The 23,213-nt window shown below is 36.9% G+C and overlaps 1 protein-coding gene across 13 annotated transcripts in view; it reads left to right on the forward strand.

Moving 5' to 3' along the window:
• IFTAP (intraflagellar transport associated protein) overlaps positions 1–23,213 on the forward strand; it is a 64,771-nt gene that overhangs the window by 35,116 nt on the left and 6,442 nt on the right. For 7 of the 13 annotated variants that reach the window (NM_001276722.2, NM_001276723.2, XM_011519885.4 and 4 more), the window contains 3 exons: positions 3,667–3,821; positions 6,434–6,500; positions 18,399–18,538. In NM_001276722.2, the coding sequence (NP_001263651.1) occupies positions 3,667–3,821; positions 6,434–6,500; positions 18,399–18,538 (362 nt within the window). The remainder of the gene's footprint in view (positions 1–3,666; positions 3,822–6,433; positions 6,501–18,398; positions 18,539–23,213) is intronic. The other 6 variants (NM_001276725.2, NM_001276726.2, XM_047426343.1 and 3 more) reach the window with 2 other exon arrangements.

Raw genomic sequence — 23,213 nt, forward strand, 5'->3', positions numbered from 1 at the left:
TAATCACTTTTATCTGAAAGATGTATAATCAATATGTGGTTAGTGTTTAATTTATCAAGACATCAAAAGTTTCAACCTTTTCAAGGTGTGTAACCTTTTTCTTTGGTCTGAAATTAGACCCTATAGGTGTGGTGGGGGCCTTGTAAGGGAGATCTGTTGGAAGCTTGTCTGTTTAGTATCAAAAGGAAATTGAAATTCCATTGCTTCAGAATAATGAAACCTCGAAAAACCTTTAGAAAAAAACTTTCGTCTCATCTGTATTGAAGTTTTGACTCAGAAATGCCCAAAGAAACGCTTTTTCAGGTCTCAATAACCTACTTGTTCTCTGAAATATTGCTGTTAGATTTCTAAACCGTATTATGTCTGACACTTATTTCAAAGCAAGAAACATTAGGGATAAGATGAAAGGGTGGAAGAGGACCCTGATGAAAAACAGAAACAGAAGAAGATGAGACGAACCCTTGGGTGGCACATTTGGATTTCACCAGGATTACTATAGGAAGTGGCATCTGGCTCTCTAATCAGACTTTCATCCACTTCAGATTCTGGGCTGTGCCAGCATCTGCCATTTTGACATTATCATATTGAAAAATAACTTTTTTCCCTATCTCATTGTGCCAAGATATTTATTATTTGCTGGATTTTAAAAACAACGATAAAAGCCTTTAGAAGGAGCACTTCTGGGTCTTAGGAGGGATATAGCATATATTCTTGTGAAACCAATTCTGAAGTTTAGGAAGGAGCCTTAAACTGTAGCTTTTGTCAAGAATGAACAAGTTCTTTTCTACATCATCCAGTCTGTCTTTTAAAAATGAAAACTTTCTGTTTATAAAAGGAGAATTTTAAAAAGAGTGGATGAGAATTTTTGTTAGACCTGAGATCCCAACAGTAGTTCAACATCAGGATCAGAAGCTGAGACTTCATTATATTTTGCTCTTTATTTCAAAGGAGTTTCATCTGGTTACCTGTCACATAACCTGGGTGTTTTATTGGAAATAGTAGAGAGTACACTGAGTGATCATGAGAACAAATAGAACTCGTCCTTGTAGAACATCTTTGATTTTCAGACATTGCTGTGCTTTTCAAGTATTTAAGTCAATAGATTATTACAATAGTGTTGTGCTGGGTACATAGTATTTTCTTAGTAATTACTAGATTTAGGTTATACTTGATTTAAAGGATGAGCAGGGAAAACTGAAACCGTTTCACCTTTTATTAGAATAGAGCACTGAGGCATGGCAGTAGCCACAGGAAGTCTGCTTTCCTTTGAACATTGATGAAGTTTGAGGAACCCTTTCATCCTTCAGTTAACTCCTATTTCCAAGTGTCTCCATGCCTATCTTGCTCTACTCTGCTACCAATGCTGTTTGCCCTAGGACTGATACAGGACATCTCTGTGGCCGTAAAAGTGGAAGAAGTCAGGGAGACTAAGTCCTAAGACCATTTCTTCCTCATTTATCTCATCTTGTATAGGGCTGGTTACTCCAACATATTCTTAGCAACCCTCCTCACACTTTGCTCAGCAACCCCCAGCCCTCCACCCACAGAAGCCAAGGTTGGGTGCTTCGCACCAGAATTTCCAAGGATTTATTGAGGCAAAAGGCAAGGGCTACCTCTCCCACTAGTAGCTAGTTAGAAGTCACTGGTGCTGGTGCAGTAGGCAGTAGTAGAGAGCTGGCCTGAGCTGGTGTTATTTATGGATGTGAACTTTTTAAAGAGAACGTGATGCATTTCATATTTGTGTTTTCCCTCTCTGGCTTATTAATGACGTATTATAGATTAGGTCACCTTATCTCTGTTTCCCATCAGTATATCTGTGTTATGTCCTAAAGATACCCTCACAAGTCTTAATTCTACCAGTGATAGGGTATTCAGAAGCAAACAAATGATGTTAACTGGATTTGTACCAGGCTGTGATCATTACAACAACATGAATCTCACTGATTTTGATGCCATGCACTGACAGGTCAAGAGAAACAAACATGGGCACTGTGCTGGGTTAGGCTATCTGTAACCCCTTCAGTTACAGATGTTCCTAAGGAACTCACAGATAAAACAATTGCTGAGTCTCTGGAACATTTTTATAGTAGAGGCTAGTAAGGGGATGGAGTAGGATTCTCCAACCCAACAATGGCTTGATTTCTGCCACTTGACTTTTTTTGAATTCCTTTATCACTCTTTTACTCTTTTAGTGATCATTGACGTAGGTTCCTGTACTTGCTGTTGTCAGAAGAAGCAAGTTTCAGTTTTGGAATGTACCCTGCACGCTTAGTTCTTCTTTGACTATTGTAAGCCATTCTTCTTTGTCTCCTTTCTGGCTCCCTGCCCCCACCTTTCTGCTCCTTTTTTCTTCTATTCTCTAAAGACCTTTTCTTTTCATTTACTGCATTAATGCAGGAAGCAAGGCACAGTGGTTAGGAGGATAGGTTCTAGAGTCAGAAGGCAGTGTTCAGATCCCCACTCTGCTACTTAACCATCTGTATAGCCTTGAGCAAGTTACTTTCTCTCTCTGTAGGCCTTGGTTCTTTAATCTGTAAAGTAAGGATAGTAACAGTGTCTACTTTTAGTGGTATTCTGAGGATTAAATGAAATGATTCATGAGATGCTCACAAAAGAGTGCCACTCAATGAATGTTAACCCTGATTATTAATTTTAATATTATTACTAATATTAAAAATAATGTTATGGCTTAAACTATTACCTCAGTGTAATTGATGAACAGATATTTACCTCCTGTGAAATCTCTCCCAGATTTTAACCTACATTTGCAGCTGCCTTTGGGTCATTTCCACTACGATTTCAACTGGCACTTCAAATGCAATATGGCCAAAGCTGAATTCATTCATTATCTTTTATCAAAATTATTTCATTTTATTTCCCCCACATTTCTTTTAATAGCATCATGATATAATTGTCTTAGTCTCTTAATTTAGGATTACTCTTAGATGCTTTCCTCAGCCTAAGTAGATAATCGTGAATGTACATGGATTTAGTACAAAGATATTCATTGTTTATAATTTTAAACAGTCAAGAATAAGGAATTGGTTAAATAAACTATCTTACATTTATATAAAGGAGTTCTTGATAACTATTAAAATTACATGGAATATTCAATAACCTGAAAAGAGATACTGCTGGCAAGTTGAGTTATGTACAGTATGATTCCTTCTGGATTTTTAGAAGTGCATGGATACGTAAAAAATATTAGATAGCCACTGAAAAAACTTTGTTGTGGCCTTTCTGGCTTGTAGGATTATGAGTGATTTTCATATTTTACTTTTTTCCCTCATAAGTTTTCTAAAGTCATCCATACATTGCTTTCATATAAAGAAAAAAATCCCTCAAATTTAGAAAAAGATGTGATAGGTCATGTCTAAGAGTCTCACAAATACTGTATTTTATTAACTTTTTAACAGCGACCAAGAACAGTGCTGGATATGTAATAGGCACTCAATAAATATATGTTGAGTGACATAATGTTATCTTTCTATCCAGTTTTAGAAATCACTTTTAACAGTTCAGAGTGCTTAATGCCTCAAGGGTTCGGTTTGTAGAGTTCTTTGAAAAGTATTCTTTTTCATTGGAAGAAACTTTCTCAATATACACAAAATAAACCAGACTTGGTATTGTGGATGTTTTCTAATAGTGCATAACTTCTTATTTCAGAGGATCATGTGTCCAAAAGGGGAGTGTTTGGAACTGATTCTTCAGAAAACATTTTTACCTCAGCAAAAGTTACTCATAAAAATGAAGCAGATGACTACCATCTTAGAAATAAAACCATCTTTCTTCGTACTTCATCACAATGTTTGGAAGAACAGGTAATACCAACATAGTACATGTATAGAAACAATCTCAGAAGAAAAGAATTCTTCATGAATCAAAAAAAAGAGACCCTACTAAACACTAGACAGTTATTAGATCTGTAATTCCTAATTCTAGAAGGAGTGCCATTGGGGCACTTTATTGAAAGTCATCATTACATATATTTCATAATGTTGACAGCTATTGTTTATGATGATAACTGGTTATCCCCAATTTTTGTTCAAAAGTTCTTAAGGATCTGCCATCTATAAATTATTGAAATTATTTCTTTTAGCTTGTCTTCTATTTGGGACAAAAGAGCTCCTTTCTCTAATTCTCTGTGTAAAATGGGACTTTCTTTCACCTGTCCTAGATTCATCTCTTTCAAACTCAAGATGGAATCGATTATCTTGTTTTTCTCTAATATCTGGTCAATAAATGTTAGATACGCTTTTTCTAATCTTGAAGACTTTATAGACTCTTCACATTCTCCTCAGCTATGATTTTTAATTATCAAGGAATTATAGTGGAAACTGTTCTGCTTTTTAAGCCATTTAAGTTTCTAATTTCTGCTTCATCATGTATTCCTTGCAATATTGTGGACAGAATTGTATATTGTGTTTTTTTCTAACAAGGGAACAAAAATCTCTGTGTTAGAAATATGTTTATATACAGCAGATGCCTATAATTCTTTATTTCCTGAACTTGCTTCCAGAGAGATAATTGTGGGATACGAACTTTTTTCACTCTTTACTGGCAATGACTGACCATTGGGATTATATTATATAGAGAGTCTTTAACCAGCATTTGAGGAACAGAGAATGGTTGAATGACATTGTTTTCTAATAACTTGAAAATGTTGTGTTACCATTCTCTGATTTGTTCATCAGAGGTTCATTGGGATGGGATAGGAGTGGAGAGTATTCCTATTTTACTCATGAGAAGACTGAGATTAAGTAGTCTATTATAGGTTACACTGTGGATGAGTCTACAGGACAGAAGTAGAATCAGAGCTCCTGAAACCTATTCCCTGACCTCCGCTATGGCTTACTGAATTTGGTCTGTTATGCTCAGCTAATTAACAAAAACGGGAAGGGGAGTTTTATCATCTGAAGGGCTACAAGATCAGCTTCTTTATTTTCAGTTGTTTCATTTTTCCATCAATATGTGATGGATGAAGGCCAAAAAGTATTTTTTCAGATAGTGATGGATGAAGGCCAAAAAATTGGCAGTTCTTTTCAAGGTGATCTGAATTGGGCAGAAAAGGTGAAGGTAAGGCATGTTTCAATTTTCTTGGCAAAAACCAAAAACACAACAAACAAACTAAAAACACAGGACTCATTTACTGTCCCTTATACAAAGTTGGAGAATTCAGCAGATTTTGTCCTTACAATTTTTTTTTATTAATTGATGTTTGAATATCTTAAACTATTCTTGGTCAGCTGGGTTCTGGATCTTTTTTCCTTAGAGCTTAATAAATGAAAGGGGTGCTTTGATAGAGAAACATGACTCCAGTCCCCATTAGCATACACCACTAAGTAAATAACAATATAATATGACAGAATTTCAAAATTTAGTAGTGAAACCATTATGTGGAAGATAAATTTTTGCCTTCACTTGGATGCCAGATAATAACTGCAGGTATGTACTTAAAAGCAATGGCAGTACCATTTAAAATTCCTATGTAATAGCTATGGTCTCGCAAGTAGAGCTGGGGGAAGAAAGACCCAGCCTGTCTTTTGAATTCCAATTATGAAATGTAAATTTGTAATTTTATGGTATTTTATTATGCACATGTTTAGGTCATGAGCATAAAAGGCATTGCAACCTTATTCCTTTACTAGGTCTCATTCATGCCAGTGGTGAGATCATTTTCTTATTTACACTCTTTGATATTCACTTGAGATGAATTAGTTCATGTCTAAATGTTACCATTTTGTTAATCTAAAATGTCTCATTGTCAGCTTGCAGTGGAAAGCAGTATTCCATGTGGAATAGTTTTTCATTGAAATGCTGCTATTGTGTCTGTAAAGGTCATTTGCCCTGCTTTTTACCTTTGAAGTAATTTTCAGTTTTATTTGCTCGAAAGAGAGAACACTTGAGTTTTTGCCCTGCTCACATCTCTTGTGATTTTGTTTTGAATGAACTTTTCTCTCCTGCTTTCTTTAGTTTCTTCTCTCTGGCTCCTCAGAGTGCTATCAGAAAGCACGGTGTTATGACAGTAGCCAGAGCCACCGCCACCATTTGCTTGACAGGCAAAAGCAATAAAAGGAAAACAAAACCCAGAAACACTGTTTTCAACTGTCATGGTGGTGGTATATATTCTGGGATAGAATCTGGAACAAAGTCCCTTTTAAAAAACTCTCAGACTGCTTTTTTCCCTTTCAGTGCAGAGGCCTGACTATGGTGCCTACAAAATCCAGGCCAGCTTTCAAATTTACTGCTTCTTTCAGATGTCTCTTGGGAAAGCACAGTGAACACAAAAGCCTTGAGCTGGGACTCAAGAGTTAATGAGAAAAGTGGATTCAGCTGCTCAGTTAGGTGTTGTGGAAGTGGATTCGTTGACTTTTCACTGCAGTTTTTCTTTAGGTCTATTCTGCTTAAAAATTATGTTAATTCTTTTTTCTAGGTAGATAATTTCCTAGATTTAGAAGATTTGGACATGGATGAAGAGATTAAACCCCAAATGAGTGAGGGTATGCTTTCTATTTCCTTTCTATACTACCTGACCTCTTTCTAGAAACTACAAATAAGGCTTTAGACAGCTTTCCTGTTTTTGGCAATTCTTACCTCCACCTCTCCTAAGACAGGAAGAACTAAAGTTGTGAGCTATTTTTTTCAGTAACAAAAATTTCACCTGAAAGGTCAAAGCTTTTTGAAGATTGTGAAACCTTTGGTCTTAAATGAAATAAAGATGTGCTCTCCCCCTTAACAATTCATCACAGGATTGATTCTTAGGTAATTGTCTCAAGTGGAGCCATTGTAAGTCAACTCTGTTTCCTAGAGGTACAGTCTTGTAAACTGAAATTATTTTTGAGGGACACATAAAATACCTATTAATCATAAAAATCATAAAAATATCAGAATTGATCACAAAAATAAGGCTGTCTTGCCTGGTATTAAAGGTTACTGAGGCTGAACCAAGTTTCAGTGGATTTGAGTGAACTAATGTCAAGGCCTTCCCACATGTAGAATAAGATGCAAAGCCTAGGCTGAAAATCTATGCAGGCTTCAGTGAACTATTCTAAAGAAAATAAAAGAAAATCCATTTTTTTGCTTTTAAAAATATTTATTATGTAAATTAAACCCTTAATACTAAAGATATATTGTAAATGTTTCTTCTGAGGCATTTTCCACATGGGCTGGATTGAAAAAGGCTTCATGCTAGTCTGTTGATGTTTATTTAGAGGAAAACTTTTTTCTTTCTAGTTAACATTTCTGGATAGGCATAGGTATCCTTTGTTTCTCGAAGGATGTTTGAAATATGTTCAAAATCAGGAAGTTTTTTTTTTTTTTTTTTAAACACTCATTCCTGATTTAACATGCAAGAATATATCAAAGTCAATGCCTAATTTTACAGAAGGGGCAGTTTCCACGGAGGTTTGGTTGTTGATGTTTAACTATTGTTTACTGTCTTTAGGTGGTCATAAACATGTTTTATGGTCATTAGTGTTGGGGGAGGATGGCTTATTTATAATCAGACAGAAGTTAAAGTGACTAGGTAAAGTTGGTTTAGGGATGGTGACTATCTGTACATTGGTTGTATAAACCTCTACTCTAGCTTCTTCAGCTGCTTGAATTTGAGAGGTTTTGGTAATTGGAAGAAATGAACATTTTTATTCTGCTTTCAAGCATCACACTACTCCGTGAAGGGATTGCTTCTCAAGCACACTATTAACCAGCAGATGTTGCAGATTCTTTACTTATTTGGTTTAAGTGAGATCAGAGGTCTAGAGGGATCACATCCTCCAGGGAGAGGTTCTCTAACTTTAATACCCTGAGTGGCTCTGAATTTCTATAATGAGAGCAGCAAAGGGACTCCAGTTGGATTAGAAGGGAGAGCTAAGGACTTGTCAGGAAGCTACATTTGTAGAGGAAGCACACTGTTTTGGGTTTTGGGTGATTTGGGGGAGGGAACCTTGTTAAAAATGCAGATTTCTGGATCTCCCTCCCAATAGAGAATCTAATTCAGAAGGTCTTTGGTGGCATCTGGTGATCTGCATTTTAACCGACACCCCCAATGATTCTAATATAATTAATTTGAGGATAACACGTGGAGACAAATGGTTCTAGTCTGCATGTAATACATATGCAATATAAAATAAATTTCATAAGAGGGCACAAAAGTACATGTTTTGGGTGCTTTTGTGATGGTTTAAATTTTTCACTTCTTACCAGTATGAGAACTCTGTATATTGACATAAACCAACATAGCCAACAGATCTGATTTTTGTTATGTCAATCTTTTTTTTTTTTTGAGATGGAGTCTCACTCTGTCGCCCAGGCTGGAGTGCAATGGCATGATCTCAGCTCACTGCAACCTCTGCCTCTCAGGTTTAAGCAATTCTCCTGCCTCAGCCTCCCAAGTAGCTGGGATTACAGGTGCATGCTGCCATGCCTGGCTAATTTTTATGTATTTTAGTAGAGATAGGGTTTCACTGTGTTGCCCAGGCTGGTCTTGAACTCCTGAGCTCAGGCAATCCACCTGCCTCGGCCACACCCCGCCCCACCGCCCGCCCGAGTGCTAGGATTACAGGTGTGAGCCCCCTCACCCGGCCCGTCAATCTTTTAAATCGCCTTTTTACCTTCTTCAGTATTTTCACATTGTTTTCTTTAAATATTTTTTTCAAGTTACATTTTTCAATTACCAGATTTATTTTAAAATATTGATAAAAACATCTTACTAGTATGATTTTTCCAGAAATCAGATAACAAGCCTTCTTGTATTTGTGTATAAAAGATTACTGAGGCTGAACCAAGACTTGAATGAACTCGTCAAGACCTTCCCACACATAGAATGATGTGTGAAGCCTATGCTGAAAATCAACCTAGGCTTCAGCAATCTATTCTAATTACTGAAAAGGCCACCAGGGCTTTACAATTTTCATAATGCACAATCTGGGTCATTTAAAGGGAAAAGAAATTAAATAGTTGGTGCCAAGGCGAATTTTAGTTTGGGCCTAATTTGTTTTACACTTCAGGAATGTGAGCAGAAGGCAAATATTTATATCAGATGGGAAATGTGACATTTTAAATAGTAAAGTTGCTTGTATAATTTTGGCAGCTGGGAGGTTTACTGATTAGATTCCGTTGTTATTGTTTAAGCAACAGATTTGCTTGGGGCAACAAGGAAGTGGCTTGCATATTGTTTTTCTACCATTGACTTTATTTGTTCACCCCATTCACTCTCATAAATATTCTCTAAGATTTAGGAGCATGATTCTTTTCTAATATTTGTTTTATCACTTGGCAGCCCAGGTGGAAAGATTGGAGATGGTTTTTCAGTGGAGCCAACTCTATTAAGCAATGGTATTAAGCAGTTTTCTGAGGGTAGCGTCTGCCACAGAGTTTGGTGCACTGTGTTTATTTGACATCAAGTTAACCTATTCTTCCTTTTTTGAATTTGAGATAAGGTAGTTAACCTGGTGACTGTCATGCCTCAGACAAACTGGCCCATACTTTTACCCAGCACAATTATTGTTTGGATCAGTTATTAGTTATTGTGCTGAGGACATTAGAATAGGAAGATTTTCTGTTCATCTTTATTTTTATGCTTCCTCGGTGGGCCCAGCCCAACCTCTTTTCTGGTCAAGTGCAAGTAGCTCAAGAGACTTTTTTTTTTTTTTAATCTACTTCTGAGATTCATACTGTCTTACACACATCTCTTGGTCAGCGGGTGTACTTATGGTGTGGCTGATTGTATTGACTGAGAATGGGCACTGATTCCTGCTCAAAGGTTGGCAGCCTTGTTTGATTTTCATTTTCAGGTTCTCCAGTACTGTACTTCTGCCTTAGTCCATTTATGTTGCTGTAAAAGAATACCTGAGGCTGGGTAAAGAAAAGAGGTTTATTTGGCTCATGGTTCTGCAGGCTGTGCAAGAAGCATGGAGCCAGCGTGTGCTTCTGGGGAAGCCAAAGGGGAACCACATGTGCAGAAACTGCATGACGAGAGAGGAACCGAGAGAGAGGGAAAGAGGTGCCAGGCTCTTTTCAACAATCAGTTCTTTTGGGAACTAAGAGTGAGAACTCAGCGAAAACTCACTCACTCTGGAGAGAATGGCACCAAGCCGTTCCTGAGGGATCTACTCTGAAACCAAGCACCTCCCTCCAGTACCTACCTCCAACATTGGGGACCAAATTTCAACATAAGACTTGCTGAGGCCAAACAAACCATATCCTAACCATAGCAATGTCCAGTCATTTTTAGTCCGTTAATGAGCAAGTGCATACAAATGATCACATCGGTTACCTCTTTTTTTGAAAAAAAGTTCATTCCTAATTTGCAACTTTAAGCAGCTTTAGGCCACCCCTGAACGACTAGGGACTCTTATTCAACAAATATTTAAGAACTGTGGCTGAAATCCTGGTTCCTCAAGTCCTAGGCTACCCTGGTAGTTCTCCAACACCTTTAAATAGTTGATTTTTGTGATTTATCTAGCTTTTCTAGTTGTTGATGGTGGGAGGGTTGGACTGACATTAGCTAGACCAGCAGACTCCTGAAGATGTGGTATAGGAACCCCTCAGAAACCCTAAGGTTGGCAGGTCATGTGTTGATGTTTGCATTGAAGTTGGAAAAGCAATGATGGGTGAAGATGCTGGCACCTTAGTGTGAATCAAGTTTGTGGCACCAAATTATACTAGCAGTTGTGTCATCTTCACTGTCATAAATTTATAATCAAAAACAAATGCCAGTTTCCACTGAAAATTTCTTGAAGTAGTAAAAATTATTAATTTTATTACATATTACATCTTTATTCTTAAGTATACCTCTTTTTAATGATTTTTGTGTCAAAATAGTAAGTGTTCATAAGGCACTTCTGTTACATACTGAAATACAGTGGTTGTGGAAAAACACTTGGGTGATTGAGTGGTGTGCTGAACTGGTTTATTTTTCTCTTTCATGAATCACCATTTTTATTGGAAAGAGTGACTGACAAACTATATTTCTCAAAAATGAATAAAGTGAGCCTGTCTCTTCAAGGCTAATAACTAATAGTATTCATTGCCAATGATAAAATTGGCAATGGATCAAGCGAAAATTAGATTTTTAGAGAACTCGTATCTAGTACTGTGAGCTTGACAGCTTCTCAATATTTAAAGGCTTTTCTGGCAAAATTGGTGATATTAACTAATGTGATTTTTATACTGTATAATGAAATATGTCAACATTTGGAAGATCTACATAACACAGTGAACCAATATTTTCCAAATGACCAATTAATAATGTTTACAAAATTATACATAGGGGAAAGATCCATTCAGTGTGCAAGATAGACCAATGGATTTTAATGTAGCAGTACAAAAAATTCACTGACAAGTTTTCAGAATGCTCATGGAAAATAACCTTTGAAAAACTCTATGATTTTTCAGATCGTGGTGTAGTATCAAAGAAAAATATCCACAACTATATAAAAAGACTATTAAAATACTCCTCCCCTTTCCAACTACCTATCTATATGAGTCTGGATTTTCTTTACTTCAACTAAAACAGTGTATTTCAAAAATTGAATGCAGAAACAAATAGGGAATCCAACTTTCTTCTGTTCAGCCAGATATTATAACAGATTCGAAAAAATGTAAAATAATGCTTCTCAATATTTTCTATTTTTAGAAAATAGATTTTTAATAAAAATACTTATTTTAATATGTAATTTGATTATTAGTAATGATTCCAATATACAAATATTGGAACACTTGTCAGTTTTAATTCCTGATATGGTGAGTGTTGATAGACATAACCCATGTAAACAAAAGATCTTTGAGATCTTCAATCATTTTTAAGAATAAGAACTACTGACAAGACTATCATAGCTGGAAGCTCTATTTAGAAGTTGCCTGTTCTCATTGGTTTCAAAGAATATCTTTATTTCTGCCTTCATTTTGTTATGTAGCCAGTACTCATTCAGGAGCAGGTTGTTCAGTTTCCATGTAGTTGAGCGGTTTTGAGTGAGTTTCTTAATCCTGAGTTCTAGTTTGATTGCACTGTGGTCAGAGAGATAGTTTTTTATAATTTCTGTTCTTTTACATTTGCTGAGGAGTGCTTTACTTCCAACTATGTGGTCAGTTTTGGAATAGGTGGGGTGTGGTGCTGAGAAGAATGTATACTCTGTTGATTTGGGGTGGAGAGTTTTGTAGATGTCTATTAGGTCCGCTTCGTGCAAAGCTGAGTTCAATTCCTGGATATCTTTTTTAACTTCCTGTCTTGTTGATCTGTCTATTGTTGACAGTGGGGTGTTAAAGTCTCCCATTATTATTGTGTGGGAGTCTAAGTCTCTTTGTAGGTCTCTAAGGACTTGCTTTATGAATCTGGGTGCTCCTGTATTGGGTGCATATATATTTAAGATAGTTAGCTCTTCTTGTTGAATTGATCCCTTTACCATTATGTAATGGCCTTCTTTGTCTCTTTTGATCTTTGTTGGTTTAAAGTCTGTTTTATCAGAGACTAGGATAAAATTGATAGACCGCTAGCAAGACTAATAAAGAAGAAAAGAGAGAAGAATCAAATAGACGCAATAAAAAATGATAAAGGGGATATCACCACCGATCTCACAGAAATACAAACTACCATCAGAGAATACTATAAACACCTCTACACAAATAAACTAGAAAATCTAGAAGAAATGAATAAATTCCTGGACACATACACCCTTCCAAGACTAAACCAGGAAGAAGTCGAATCCCTGAATAGACCAATAACAGGCTCTGAAATTGAGGCAATAATTAATAGCCTACCAACCAAAAAAAGCCCAGGACCAGACAGATTCACAGCCAAATTCTACCAGAGGTACGAGGAGGAGCTGGTACCATTCCTTCTGAAACTATTCCAATGAATAGGAAAAGAGGAAATCCTCCCTAACTCATTTTATGAGACCAGCATGATCCTGATACCAAAGCCTGGCAGAGACACAACAAAAAAAGAGAATTTTAGACCAATATCCCTCATGAACATCGATGCAAAAATCCTCAATAAAATACTAGCAAACCAAATCCAGCAGCACATCAAAAAGCTTACCCACTATGATCAAGTGGGCTTCATCCCTGGGATGCAAGGCTGGTTCAACATACGCAAATCAATAAACGTAATCCAGCATATGAACAGAACCAAAGACAAAAACCACATGGTTATCTCAATAGATGCAGAAAAGGCCTTTGACAAAATTCAACAGCCCTTCATGCTAAAAACTCTCAATAAATTAGGTATTGATGGGACATATCTCAAAATAATAAGAGCTGTTTATGACAAACCCACAGCCAATATCATACTGAATGGGCAAAAACTGGAAGCATTCCCTTTGAAAACTGGCACAAGACAAGGATGCCCTCTTTCACCACTCCCATTCAACATAGTGTTGGAAGTTCTGGCCAGGGCTATCAGGCAGGAGAAAGAAATAAAGGGTATTCAGTTAGGAAAAGAGGAAGTCAAATTGTCCCTGTTTGCAGATGATATGATTGTATATTTAGAAAACCCCATCATCTCAGCCCAAAATCTCCTTAAGCTGATAACAGCAAAGTCTCAGGATACAAAATCAATGTGCAAAAATCACAAGCATTCTTATACACCAATAACTGACAGAGAGCCAAATCAAGAGTGAACTCCCATTCACAATTGCTTCAAAGAGAATAAAATACCTAGGAATCCAACTTACAAGGGATGTGAAGGACCTCTTCAAGGAGAACTACAAACCAACTGCTCAATGAAATAAAAGAGGATACAAACAAATGGACGAACATTCCATGCTCAAGGATAGGAAGAATCAATATCATGAAAATGGCCATACTGCTCAAGGTAATTTATAGATTCAATGCCATCCCCATCAAGCTACCAATAACTTTCTTCATATAATTGGAAAAACTACTTTAAAGTTCATATGGAACCAAAAAAGAGCCTGCATTGCCAAGACAATCCTAAGCCAAAAGAAGAAAGCTGGAGGCATCATGCTACCTGACTTCAAACTATAGTACAAGGCTACAGTAACCAAAACAGCATGGTACTGGTACCAAAACAGAGATATAGACCAATGGAAAAGAACAGAGCCCTCAGAAATAATACCATGCATCTACAACCATCTGATCTTTGACAAACTTAACTAAAACAAGAGATGGGGAAAAGATTCCCTATTTAATAAATGGTGCTGGGAAAACTGGCTAGCCATATGTGGAAAGCTGAAACTGGATCCCTTCCTTACACCTTGTACAAAAATTAATTCAAGATGGATTAAAGACTTAAATATTAGACCTAAAACCATAAAAACCCTAGAAGAAAACCTAGGCAATACCATTGAGGACACAGGCATGGGCAAGGACTTCATGACTAAAACACCAAAAACAATGGCAACAAAAGCCAAAATTGACAAGTGGAATCTAATTAAACTAAAGAGCGTCTGCACAGCAAAAGAAACTACCATCAGAGTGAACAGGCAACCTACAGAATGAGAGAAAATGTTTGCAATCTACTCAACTGACAAAGGGCTAATATCCAGAATCTATAAATAACTCAAACAAGTTTACAAGAAAAAAACAAACAACCCCATCAAAAAGTGAGCAAAGGATATGAACAGACACTTCTCAAAAGAAGACATTTATGCAGCCAACGGGCACATGAAAAAATGCTCATCATCACTGGCCATCAGAGAAATGCAAATCAAAACCACAATGAGATACCATCTCACACCAGTTAGAATGGTGATCATTAAAAAGTCAGGAAACAACAGGTGCTGGAGAGGATGTGGAGAAATAGGAACACTTTTACACTGTTGGTGGGACTGTAAACTAGTTCAACTATTGCGGAAGACAGTGTGGCGATTCCTCAAGGATCTAGAACTAGAAAGACCATTTGACCCAGCTATCCCATTACTGGGTATATACCCAAAGGATTATAAATCGTGCTGCTATAAAGACACATGCACACGTATGTTCATTGTGGCACTATTCACAATAGCAAAGAGTTGGAACCAACCCAAATGTCCAACAATGATAGACTGGATTAAGAAAATGTGGCACATATACACCATGGAATACTATGCAGCCATAAAAAAGGATGAGTTCATGTCCTTTGCAGGGACATGGATGAAGCTGGAAACCATCATTCTCAGCAAACTATCGTAAGGATAAAAAAACCAAACACTGAATGTTCTCACTCATAGGTGGGAATTGAACAATGAGAACACTTGGACACAGGAAGGGGAACATCACACACTGGGGTCTGTCGTGGGGTGGGGGGAGGGGGAGGGATAGCATTAGGAGATATACCTAATGTAAATGATAGGTTAATGGGTGCAGCACACCAACATGGCACATGTATACATATGTAACAAACCTGCACGTTGTGCACATGTACCCTAGAATTTAAAGTATAATAATAATAATAATAATAATAAAGAAGTGATCTGGACGGCTAAAGTGTTTTTTATCTATATCCTTTTTGTATTAGGATGCCCAGACTTTCAGGAAATGTTGGCCATTTTATGTGGTAACAAATGAACAGACTGGTTAATTTTATAAATATGCCAGGCAGATTTAATATTATTGTATATAAATTTTCAGATGTCAAGTAGATTGCTCACTTTGTACCAGTGTGTTAGATTACATGGCTGTAGTCTTTGACTTGCTGATCATTGACAAAATACAGAGACAAATGGCATGAATAGCTACTTTTTAAATAGTAGAATTTCTAAACACGTGGTTGAGAAAGAAGAGATTAAAATACTTCAACCAGTCTTGCCGTCCAACCTCAAGATTCATTTTTGAAAGTGGCCCTGATTCTATGATGCCAAGATGGTTGCATTTCATTAAGATGAAAACAAAGCCTTTGATTGTTTTAGAAACAACACCTATATGATCAGATTAAGTCTCTTAAAGCATTTCTGTTTCAGAAAGTTATACAGAGAACTTCAGAAATTTCATTTCCTACCATGAGTGAATACAGTATTTTTTTTCTCCTGAGAGAATATGAGTATATATATATAACCCACCCACGATTGTAAAAGGCTAAATGATTGCAGTACTTTTCTTTATAACATATGCCTTGCCAGGCTCTTTTCATTCATATTGTTTTTGCCCTTTTATAAATCTGTCATCTTTAGAGTTAGAGCCATTCAATTTTTTCTTGATTATTCTTTGATTGATTTTATATATGAAAGTCTTATTCCTGTAACGTTTAGTTTTTGAGGGTAAGGGCTATAGTCATTTTACATCATCCACAACATCTTATTGGCAGGCAGACTCGATACTTGCTGTTGAGTTTAAAAGTTGAGGTGTACAAAATTCCTTTTCTATCTCCAAGTATTTGTTGGGAATTCACTATGTATAAGGTGCTATGTTAGGCACTAATAGATATGCATTGGTGCATTTCGCTTTTATTCTGAAGAAACAAATGACAAGAATTTAAGACGTGGAGAATACTGAGTCTTGTTATTTTGAAAGAATTGTTCCCATGGCAGTAGAATTATTATGAAAGAAACCATTTTTGTTGAAAATCCTACCTTGGCAAATAGGTTAGAGAAGTGAAGTTTCAGTAAAGAAATTGCAGAGTTGTCCTCCTCACTGCACAATACTGTCAGCCAGAATGATGATTTTAAATAGCGCTGAAAGCAGAATTGATTTTGATTTCACATTTGAACTGACGTTTGCGCTGTCAGCCAATGGGTCAGGTAGATAATGGTTTTCATGTCGAGAGGCCCAAGCCTGTCTCTTGCTGCTTTCCTTGTTCGTGGGTCCCTCACCAGATTTGTACCAGTCCTAGGCTGTTACACGAGGACGCTCAGTGAGGGAGTTTGGCTTTGAACTCATAAATAGGTGCATTAGAAAACCAGTCTTCCCACCAACCTCATTGAATTTTAAAATGTTGTTTCTCTGGGTGTGAAATGTTTGGGAAATGTACTTAATGTTGCCTAACCATGCTAATGTGTTATAGTAGTGACATTTGTTGGTTCTAAGTTTGAGTGTTTAATTTGATCCAGTAAAATAAAATATGTAACAAAAATGCTTATTTAAAGAAAGTTCGTAATGTGACATTGTAGGATAAGAGCATGGGCTCTGTATGTAGATAGACTGTCCAGCTCTGCCGTTTTTAGCTGTGGGATATTGAGTGAGGCTACTGTCTCTTAGCTCATTGTCTGTAAAATGGGAAATAATAGAGCTTTGGGAGTATTAGCTGAGCTAAAGCACATAAAATGATGAGTATGTAAGTGTTGGCTATTATTATTGTTTTTATTTCTGCTAATTAATGAAATCATAGTCTAAGATTTCAGTAATTAGTCATAGCAGAATTGCCTTCTTTGCCATTTCCCCTCCACAATTCTGTTTCCAGGCTGTCTGTGTTCTCTGTTGCTGGAGTCATAAGAATTTTGTAATTATATTTTTTTGTGAAGGGGATATCTATAGTGTTGAGGGATTCATTTCAAATAAGTTTCAGTTTTTGAATATCAATACCTGCTCAATTATCTCCCTATACATGCTGCCATTTGCAGCAGTCAAGTCATGCTTGTTATTAATCACTTCCACTGAGAAGTTAATTAGTGCCTTAATTAGGATCATCTTTGAGAAGTAGGCAGCATCATCCAGAGTCCGCTCCAAGTTATTGGCTAGCTCCAGCAAGCCCTTCTGGTCCTATGAAAACAGGCTGAGGAGGAACCTGTTCTGCTTCTAATTGTTTTTTTGTCCTCCTTAAAGAAAGCTGTGGAAGATCATCAGTTGTCTGTGATGCATCCATGTACTATCATACCTGCAAAAATCAGGAGACATATCTGCTTATAATGGATCAATCAGAAAACCAAGATGGGTTATTGAATTCTTGAGATTGTGCTTAACAAGCAGGAAACATGTTGCTGCTGTTCTTTGCAAGTGTTGAAAATTAGACCATGCATTCTGAATATGACAGAATATTTCACTTTTCTGCTGAAAGTTAAAGTACTTTCCTTCTGGCATTACTGTTTTTTAACATATATTTTTGAAATATTGCCATATTGTTACAGGATGAAATCAGTACTCCATTTTCTTTCTCTTTATCCCTCCAGGAAAATATGGGAAAATGAAGCAAAAGTAACATCTTATCACCTTATTTTCATATAAAAGTAGAAATTGAGTTGAGAATAAAAGGGACAGTCAGGTTACTCCAAAAACAGTACTCCTCCAGACATTTTGGGGGGACTCTTACGTTTGCAACGATAAAATAAAAATAAATGCACTAATGGCTTCTATTATGAGGAAAGGGCAATCCCTTGAGTCCAGTTCCCAAAGGAGGACAGGCATTGTGAAATGGATCTACATTACATGAGCATATTTGCTTCATTTTCTTCGACTTCTGGGCATTTAAATGATTTAGGTAAATTGTGAACTTTGCGAAAGGCTCAGTTGAAATGTTTTGTATCCAACAGATTTGCTGCTGCTTCCAGGAGAAGTGGAGCAGGATGTAAGCACCAGCATTCCTTCCTGTATCCCTTTTGTGGCCCAGCCTCCTACCTGTGAAGTGAAGCCAAAGCCCAGTGTTAAAAGAATGGACAAACAGACGGAAGAGGTACTCCACAGGGAATTCAGTCATTCTCCACACTGCCTTGATTTTGTAATTCATCCCTTCAAAGAAATGCTGCATGCTTCTGTATTTTTCTAACATTTGGGAAAATATAAAATTCAAGTTGCTTAATTGGTCCCTCTCACAGCCATCTATCTCAAATGCATACATTTCTTTTTAAACACATAGAGCAATTATGTTTTTATGTGGAAACCATTTTTGTTTTACAGTGTATGCCATGCCACAGATCAGTGCTACCCAAGGACTACACAATAGAAAGGACGGACAGTTTTCTTGCCCTTTTTAGTTTGAACTGGCCGTTTTTATTATTACTGATAAGGTTCTATAAACTTTTGAATTAGTTGAGGTAAGGCCAGGCTGCTATAACAGAGAATCCTAATAATAATTCAATGGCTGAAAAGAGATAGATGTTTATTTCTCTTATTTACAGCCTATATAGAGCCCTTAAAATGAGCAGGTGGCTCCTTTTTGGGGGGTCATCAGGGACCCAGGTTCCTTCTTTCTGGATGTCCATTATATTTTAGGACATTGTCCTCACCTGCGTGTTCCAGGTCAGGTCATCATCGTACCTGGAGGGGAGGAGAGAAGAACATGGGGGCAGCATGTTTCCCCAAGGCTTAGGACTCAGGGTCCTTAATGTCGGCTCACATTCCATTGGTGACCACTTAGTCACATGTTCATACTGGCCACAGGGGAGGCTGAGAAATGTCACCTAGAGATGAAAATGGAATCTATGCCATATATTTACTCTTGCAAATGTGCAACTTGAAAGTCATCTTTAGCTATCATTTTGCAGCTCTTCTACATATGCTTAATAAACATGTATCAATAGAGACTGTTGCTAGTGCTGGTAGTGACCTTTCTCACCCTCCTTACTGGAACACAAAGCAGGATCAGGCACAAGAAGTTGTTAAGGGCTCTTTATTATTGCTTTCTAACAAAATCCTTAGGGTCTTTTTGGATTATTTAATCATGAGGTACTAGTCTTGTTACTAAAAGATATTCTGTTATAGAATTAGCCATTCAGTCATAAATAATCCACACATTTCAGTTTTAAATTGCCACTTTCTAATAAGTACTTTTGTTCACTGACATCATGAAAGTATATCCAGGATGCGTGCAGGCTTATATTAAACTCCCAAATTGATTACTGGCTAAACTGGTAGGGACAGCCACTTTTCAATATGCTTTTTGAATTATAGATTGCTTTCTCTGAGTTGTAAAAAGCTAAAATTATAAGACTATTTCTAGAAGGACTCAATTTCTTTTTTAAGATTTGTTCATGCTGTTGACTTCACTTGTGGCCATAAAAGTTATTGGACCAGCCAGTAGACATGGCACCTAGTACTTTTATAGAAATACAATTTTATTTCAGTACAATTTGAGAATATATATAATCTAGTACAATTATAGAAATTGTTACAAAGTGGTTTTAATTAATGGGTTAAAAAAACTGAATGATTTCTGGAATCTATCAAATAGCAGTATAAATCAAGTTGAGACCCCATATATGGTGGTATATTTAAGAGGAATATAAATTTCCTACCAGACATGTGGACATTTTAAAATGTTGGAATCAAAATGATACAAGCCACAGATGAACAACTTCTGCTGTTTTTTGAATATCTGAAGTAACATCTTGGTTGGGAATTTTTATTTCTAATTACTATTTTTTAGAGTAACTTTTCACAACCGTCTAGAATCACAATACAGGTTGAACATTCCTAATGGGAAAATCCAAAATGCTCCAAAATTTGAAACTTTTTGAGGGCTGACATGATGCTCAAAGGCAATGCTCATTGGAGCATTATGGATTTCAGATTTGGGGATTAGGGATGCTCAACTCGTATATATTCTGCAACCCTTCCAAAATCTGAAATCCAAAACACTTCATCCCAAGCATTTTGGAGAAGAGATATTCAACCTGTACTGTACCAACACTGCCTTGGTTTGATAACATTCATCTTAAAGCACCCAGTGCTAGTAAAAGAACATAATCATTAGTTTATAGCAAATGGGTCCTGAAGGGCTTACTGAAAGGCCATTTTGGGATTAGAGATGATGGTTTCTTTCTGTGATTTCAATCTGAAAAGCTGAAAATGTATTCTGGATGTCCTTCCTAACTTTCTCTTAATTGCCTATTAAGATTCCATCAACTTTCTGATATGAATTGGACCAACTCAATGTTTTACCTAATTTTGTTTTTTTTAATTTTTAAATTAACATATAATAATTGTATGTATTTATGGGGTATAGTGTGATATTTTGGTACTATATATGTGTATGATCAAATCAGGGTAATTAGCATATCCATCACTTCAAACATTTAACATTTATTTGGTTCAGATTTTTTCCCTAATTTTACCACTGGTTCTTTTTTTTTTTTCCAAAAAAAAAATATATTTTTATTATACTTTAAGTTCTAGGGTACATGTGCACAACGTGCAGGTTTGTTACATATGTATACATGTGCCATGTTGGTGTGTTGCACCAACATTTACATTAGGCATATCTCCTAATACTATCCCTCCCCCCTTCCCCCACCCCACAACAGGCCCTGGTGTGTGATGTTCCCCTTCCTGTGTCCAAGTGTTCTCATTGTTCAATTCCCACGTATGAGTGAGAACATGCGGTGTTTGGTTTTTTGTCCTTGCGATAGTTTGCTGAGAATGATGGTTTCCAGCTTCATCCATGTCCCTGCAAAGGACATGAACTCATCATTTTTTATGGCTCCATAGTATTCCATGGTGTATATGTGCCGCATTTTCTTAATCCAGTCTATCATTGATGGACATTTGGGCTGGTTCCAACAATTTGCTATTGTGAATAATGCCGCAATAAACATACGTGTGCATGTGTCTTTATAGCAGCATGATTTATAATCCTTTGGGTATATACCCAGTAATGGGATGGCTGGGTCAAATGGTATTTCTAGTTCTAGATTGCTGAGGAGTCGCCACACTGTCTTCCACAATGGTTGAACTAGTTTACAGTCCCACCAACAGTGTAAAAGTGTTCCTGTTTCTCCACATCCTCTCCAGCATCTGTTGTTTCCTGACTTTTTAATGATCACCATTCTAACTGGTGTGAGATGGTATCTCATTGTGGTTTTGATTTGCATTTCTCTGATGGCCAGTGATAATGAGCAGTTTTTCATGTGTCTGTTGGCTGCATAAATGTCTTCTTTTGAGAAGTGTCTGTTCATGTCCTTCACCCACTTTTTGATGGGGTTGTTTTTTTCTTGTAAATTTGTTTAAGTTCTTTGCAGATTCTAGATATTAGCCCTTTGTCAGATGAGTAGATTGCAAAAATTTTCTCCCATTCTGTAGGTTGCCTGTTCACTCTGAGGGTAGTTTCTTTTGCTGTGCAGAAGCTCTTTAGTTTAATTAGATCCCATTTGTCAATTTTGGCTTTGGTTGCCATTGCTTTTGGTGTTTTAGACATGAAGTCCTTGCCCATGCCTATGTCCTGAATGGTAATGCCTAGGTTTTCTTCTAGGGTTTTTATGGTTTTAGGTCTAACATTTAAATCTTTAATCCATCTTGAATTAATTTTTGAGTAAGGTGTAAGGAAGGGATCCTGTTTCAGCTTTCTACATATGGCTAGCCAGTTTTCCCAGCACCATTTATTTAATAGGGAATCCTTTCCCCATCTCTTGTTTTTGTCAGGTTTGTCAAAGATGAGATGGTTGTAGATGTGTGGTATTATTTCTGAGGGCTCTGTTCTGTTCCTTTGGTCTATATCTCTGGTTTGGTACCAGTACTATGCTGTTTTGGTTACTGTAGCCTTGTAGTATAGTTTGAAGTCAGGTAGCGTGATGCCTCCAGCTTTGTTCTTTGGCTTAGGATTGTCTTGGCAATGCAGGCTCTTTTTTGGTTCCATATGAACTTTAAAGTAGTTTTTTCCAATTCTGTGAAGAAAGTCATTGGTAGCTTGATGGGGATGGCATTGAATCTATAAGTTACCTTGAGCAGTATGACCATTTTCATGATATTGATTCTTCCTATCCATGAACATGGAATGGTCTTCCATTTGTTTGTGTTCTCTTTTATTTCGTTGAGCAGTGGTTTGTAGTTCTCCTTGAAGAGGTCCTTCACGTCCCTTGTAAGTTGGATTCCTAAGTATTTTATTCTCTTTGAAGCAATTGTGAATGGGAGTTCACACATGATTTGGCTCTCTGTTTGTCTGTTATTGGTGTATAAGAATGCTTCTGATTTTTGCACATTGATTTTGTATCCTGAGACTTTGCTGCAGTTGCTTATCAGCTTAAGGAGATTTTGGGCTGAGACGATGGGGTTTTCTAGATAGACAATCATATCATCTGCAAACAGGGACAATTTGACTTCCTCTTTTCCTAATTGAATACCCTTTATTTCTTTCTCCTGCCTGATTGCCCTGGCCAGAACTTCCAACACTATGTTGAATAGGAGTGGTGAAAGAGGGCATCCCTATCTTGTGCCAGTTTTCAAAGGGAACGCTTCCAGTTTTTGCCCACTCAGTATGATATTGGCTGTGGGTTTGTCATAAGTAACTCTTATTATTTTGAGATACATCCCATCAATACTTAATGTATTGAGAGTTTTTAGCATGAAGGGCTGTTGAATTTTGTCAAAGGCCTTTTCTGCATCTATTGAGATAATCATGATTTTACCACTGGTTC

Source organism: Homo sapiens, chromosome 11 (genome assembly GCF_000001405.40).
Source record: "Homo sapiens chromosome 11, GRCh38.p14 Primary Assembly".
NCBI classification, from domain to species: Eukaryota; Metazoa; Chordata; class Mammalia; order Primates; family Hominidae; genus Homo; species Homo sapiens.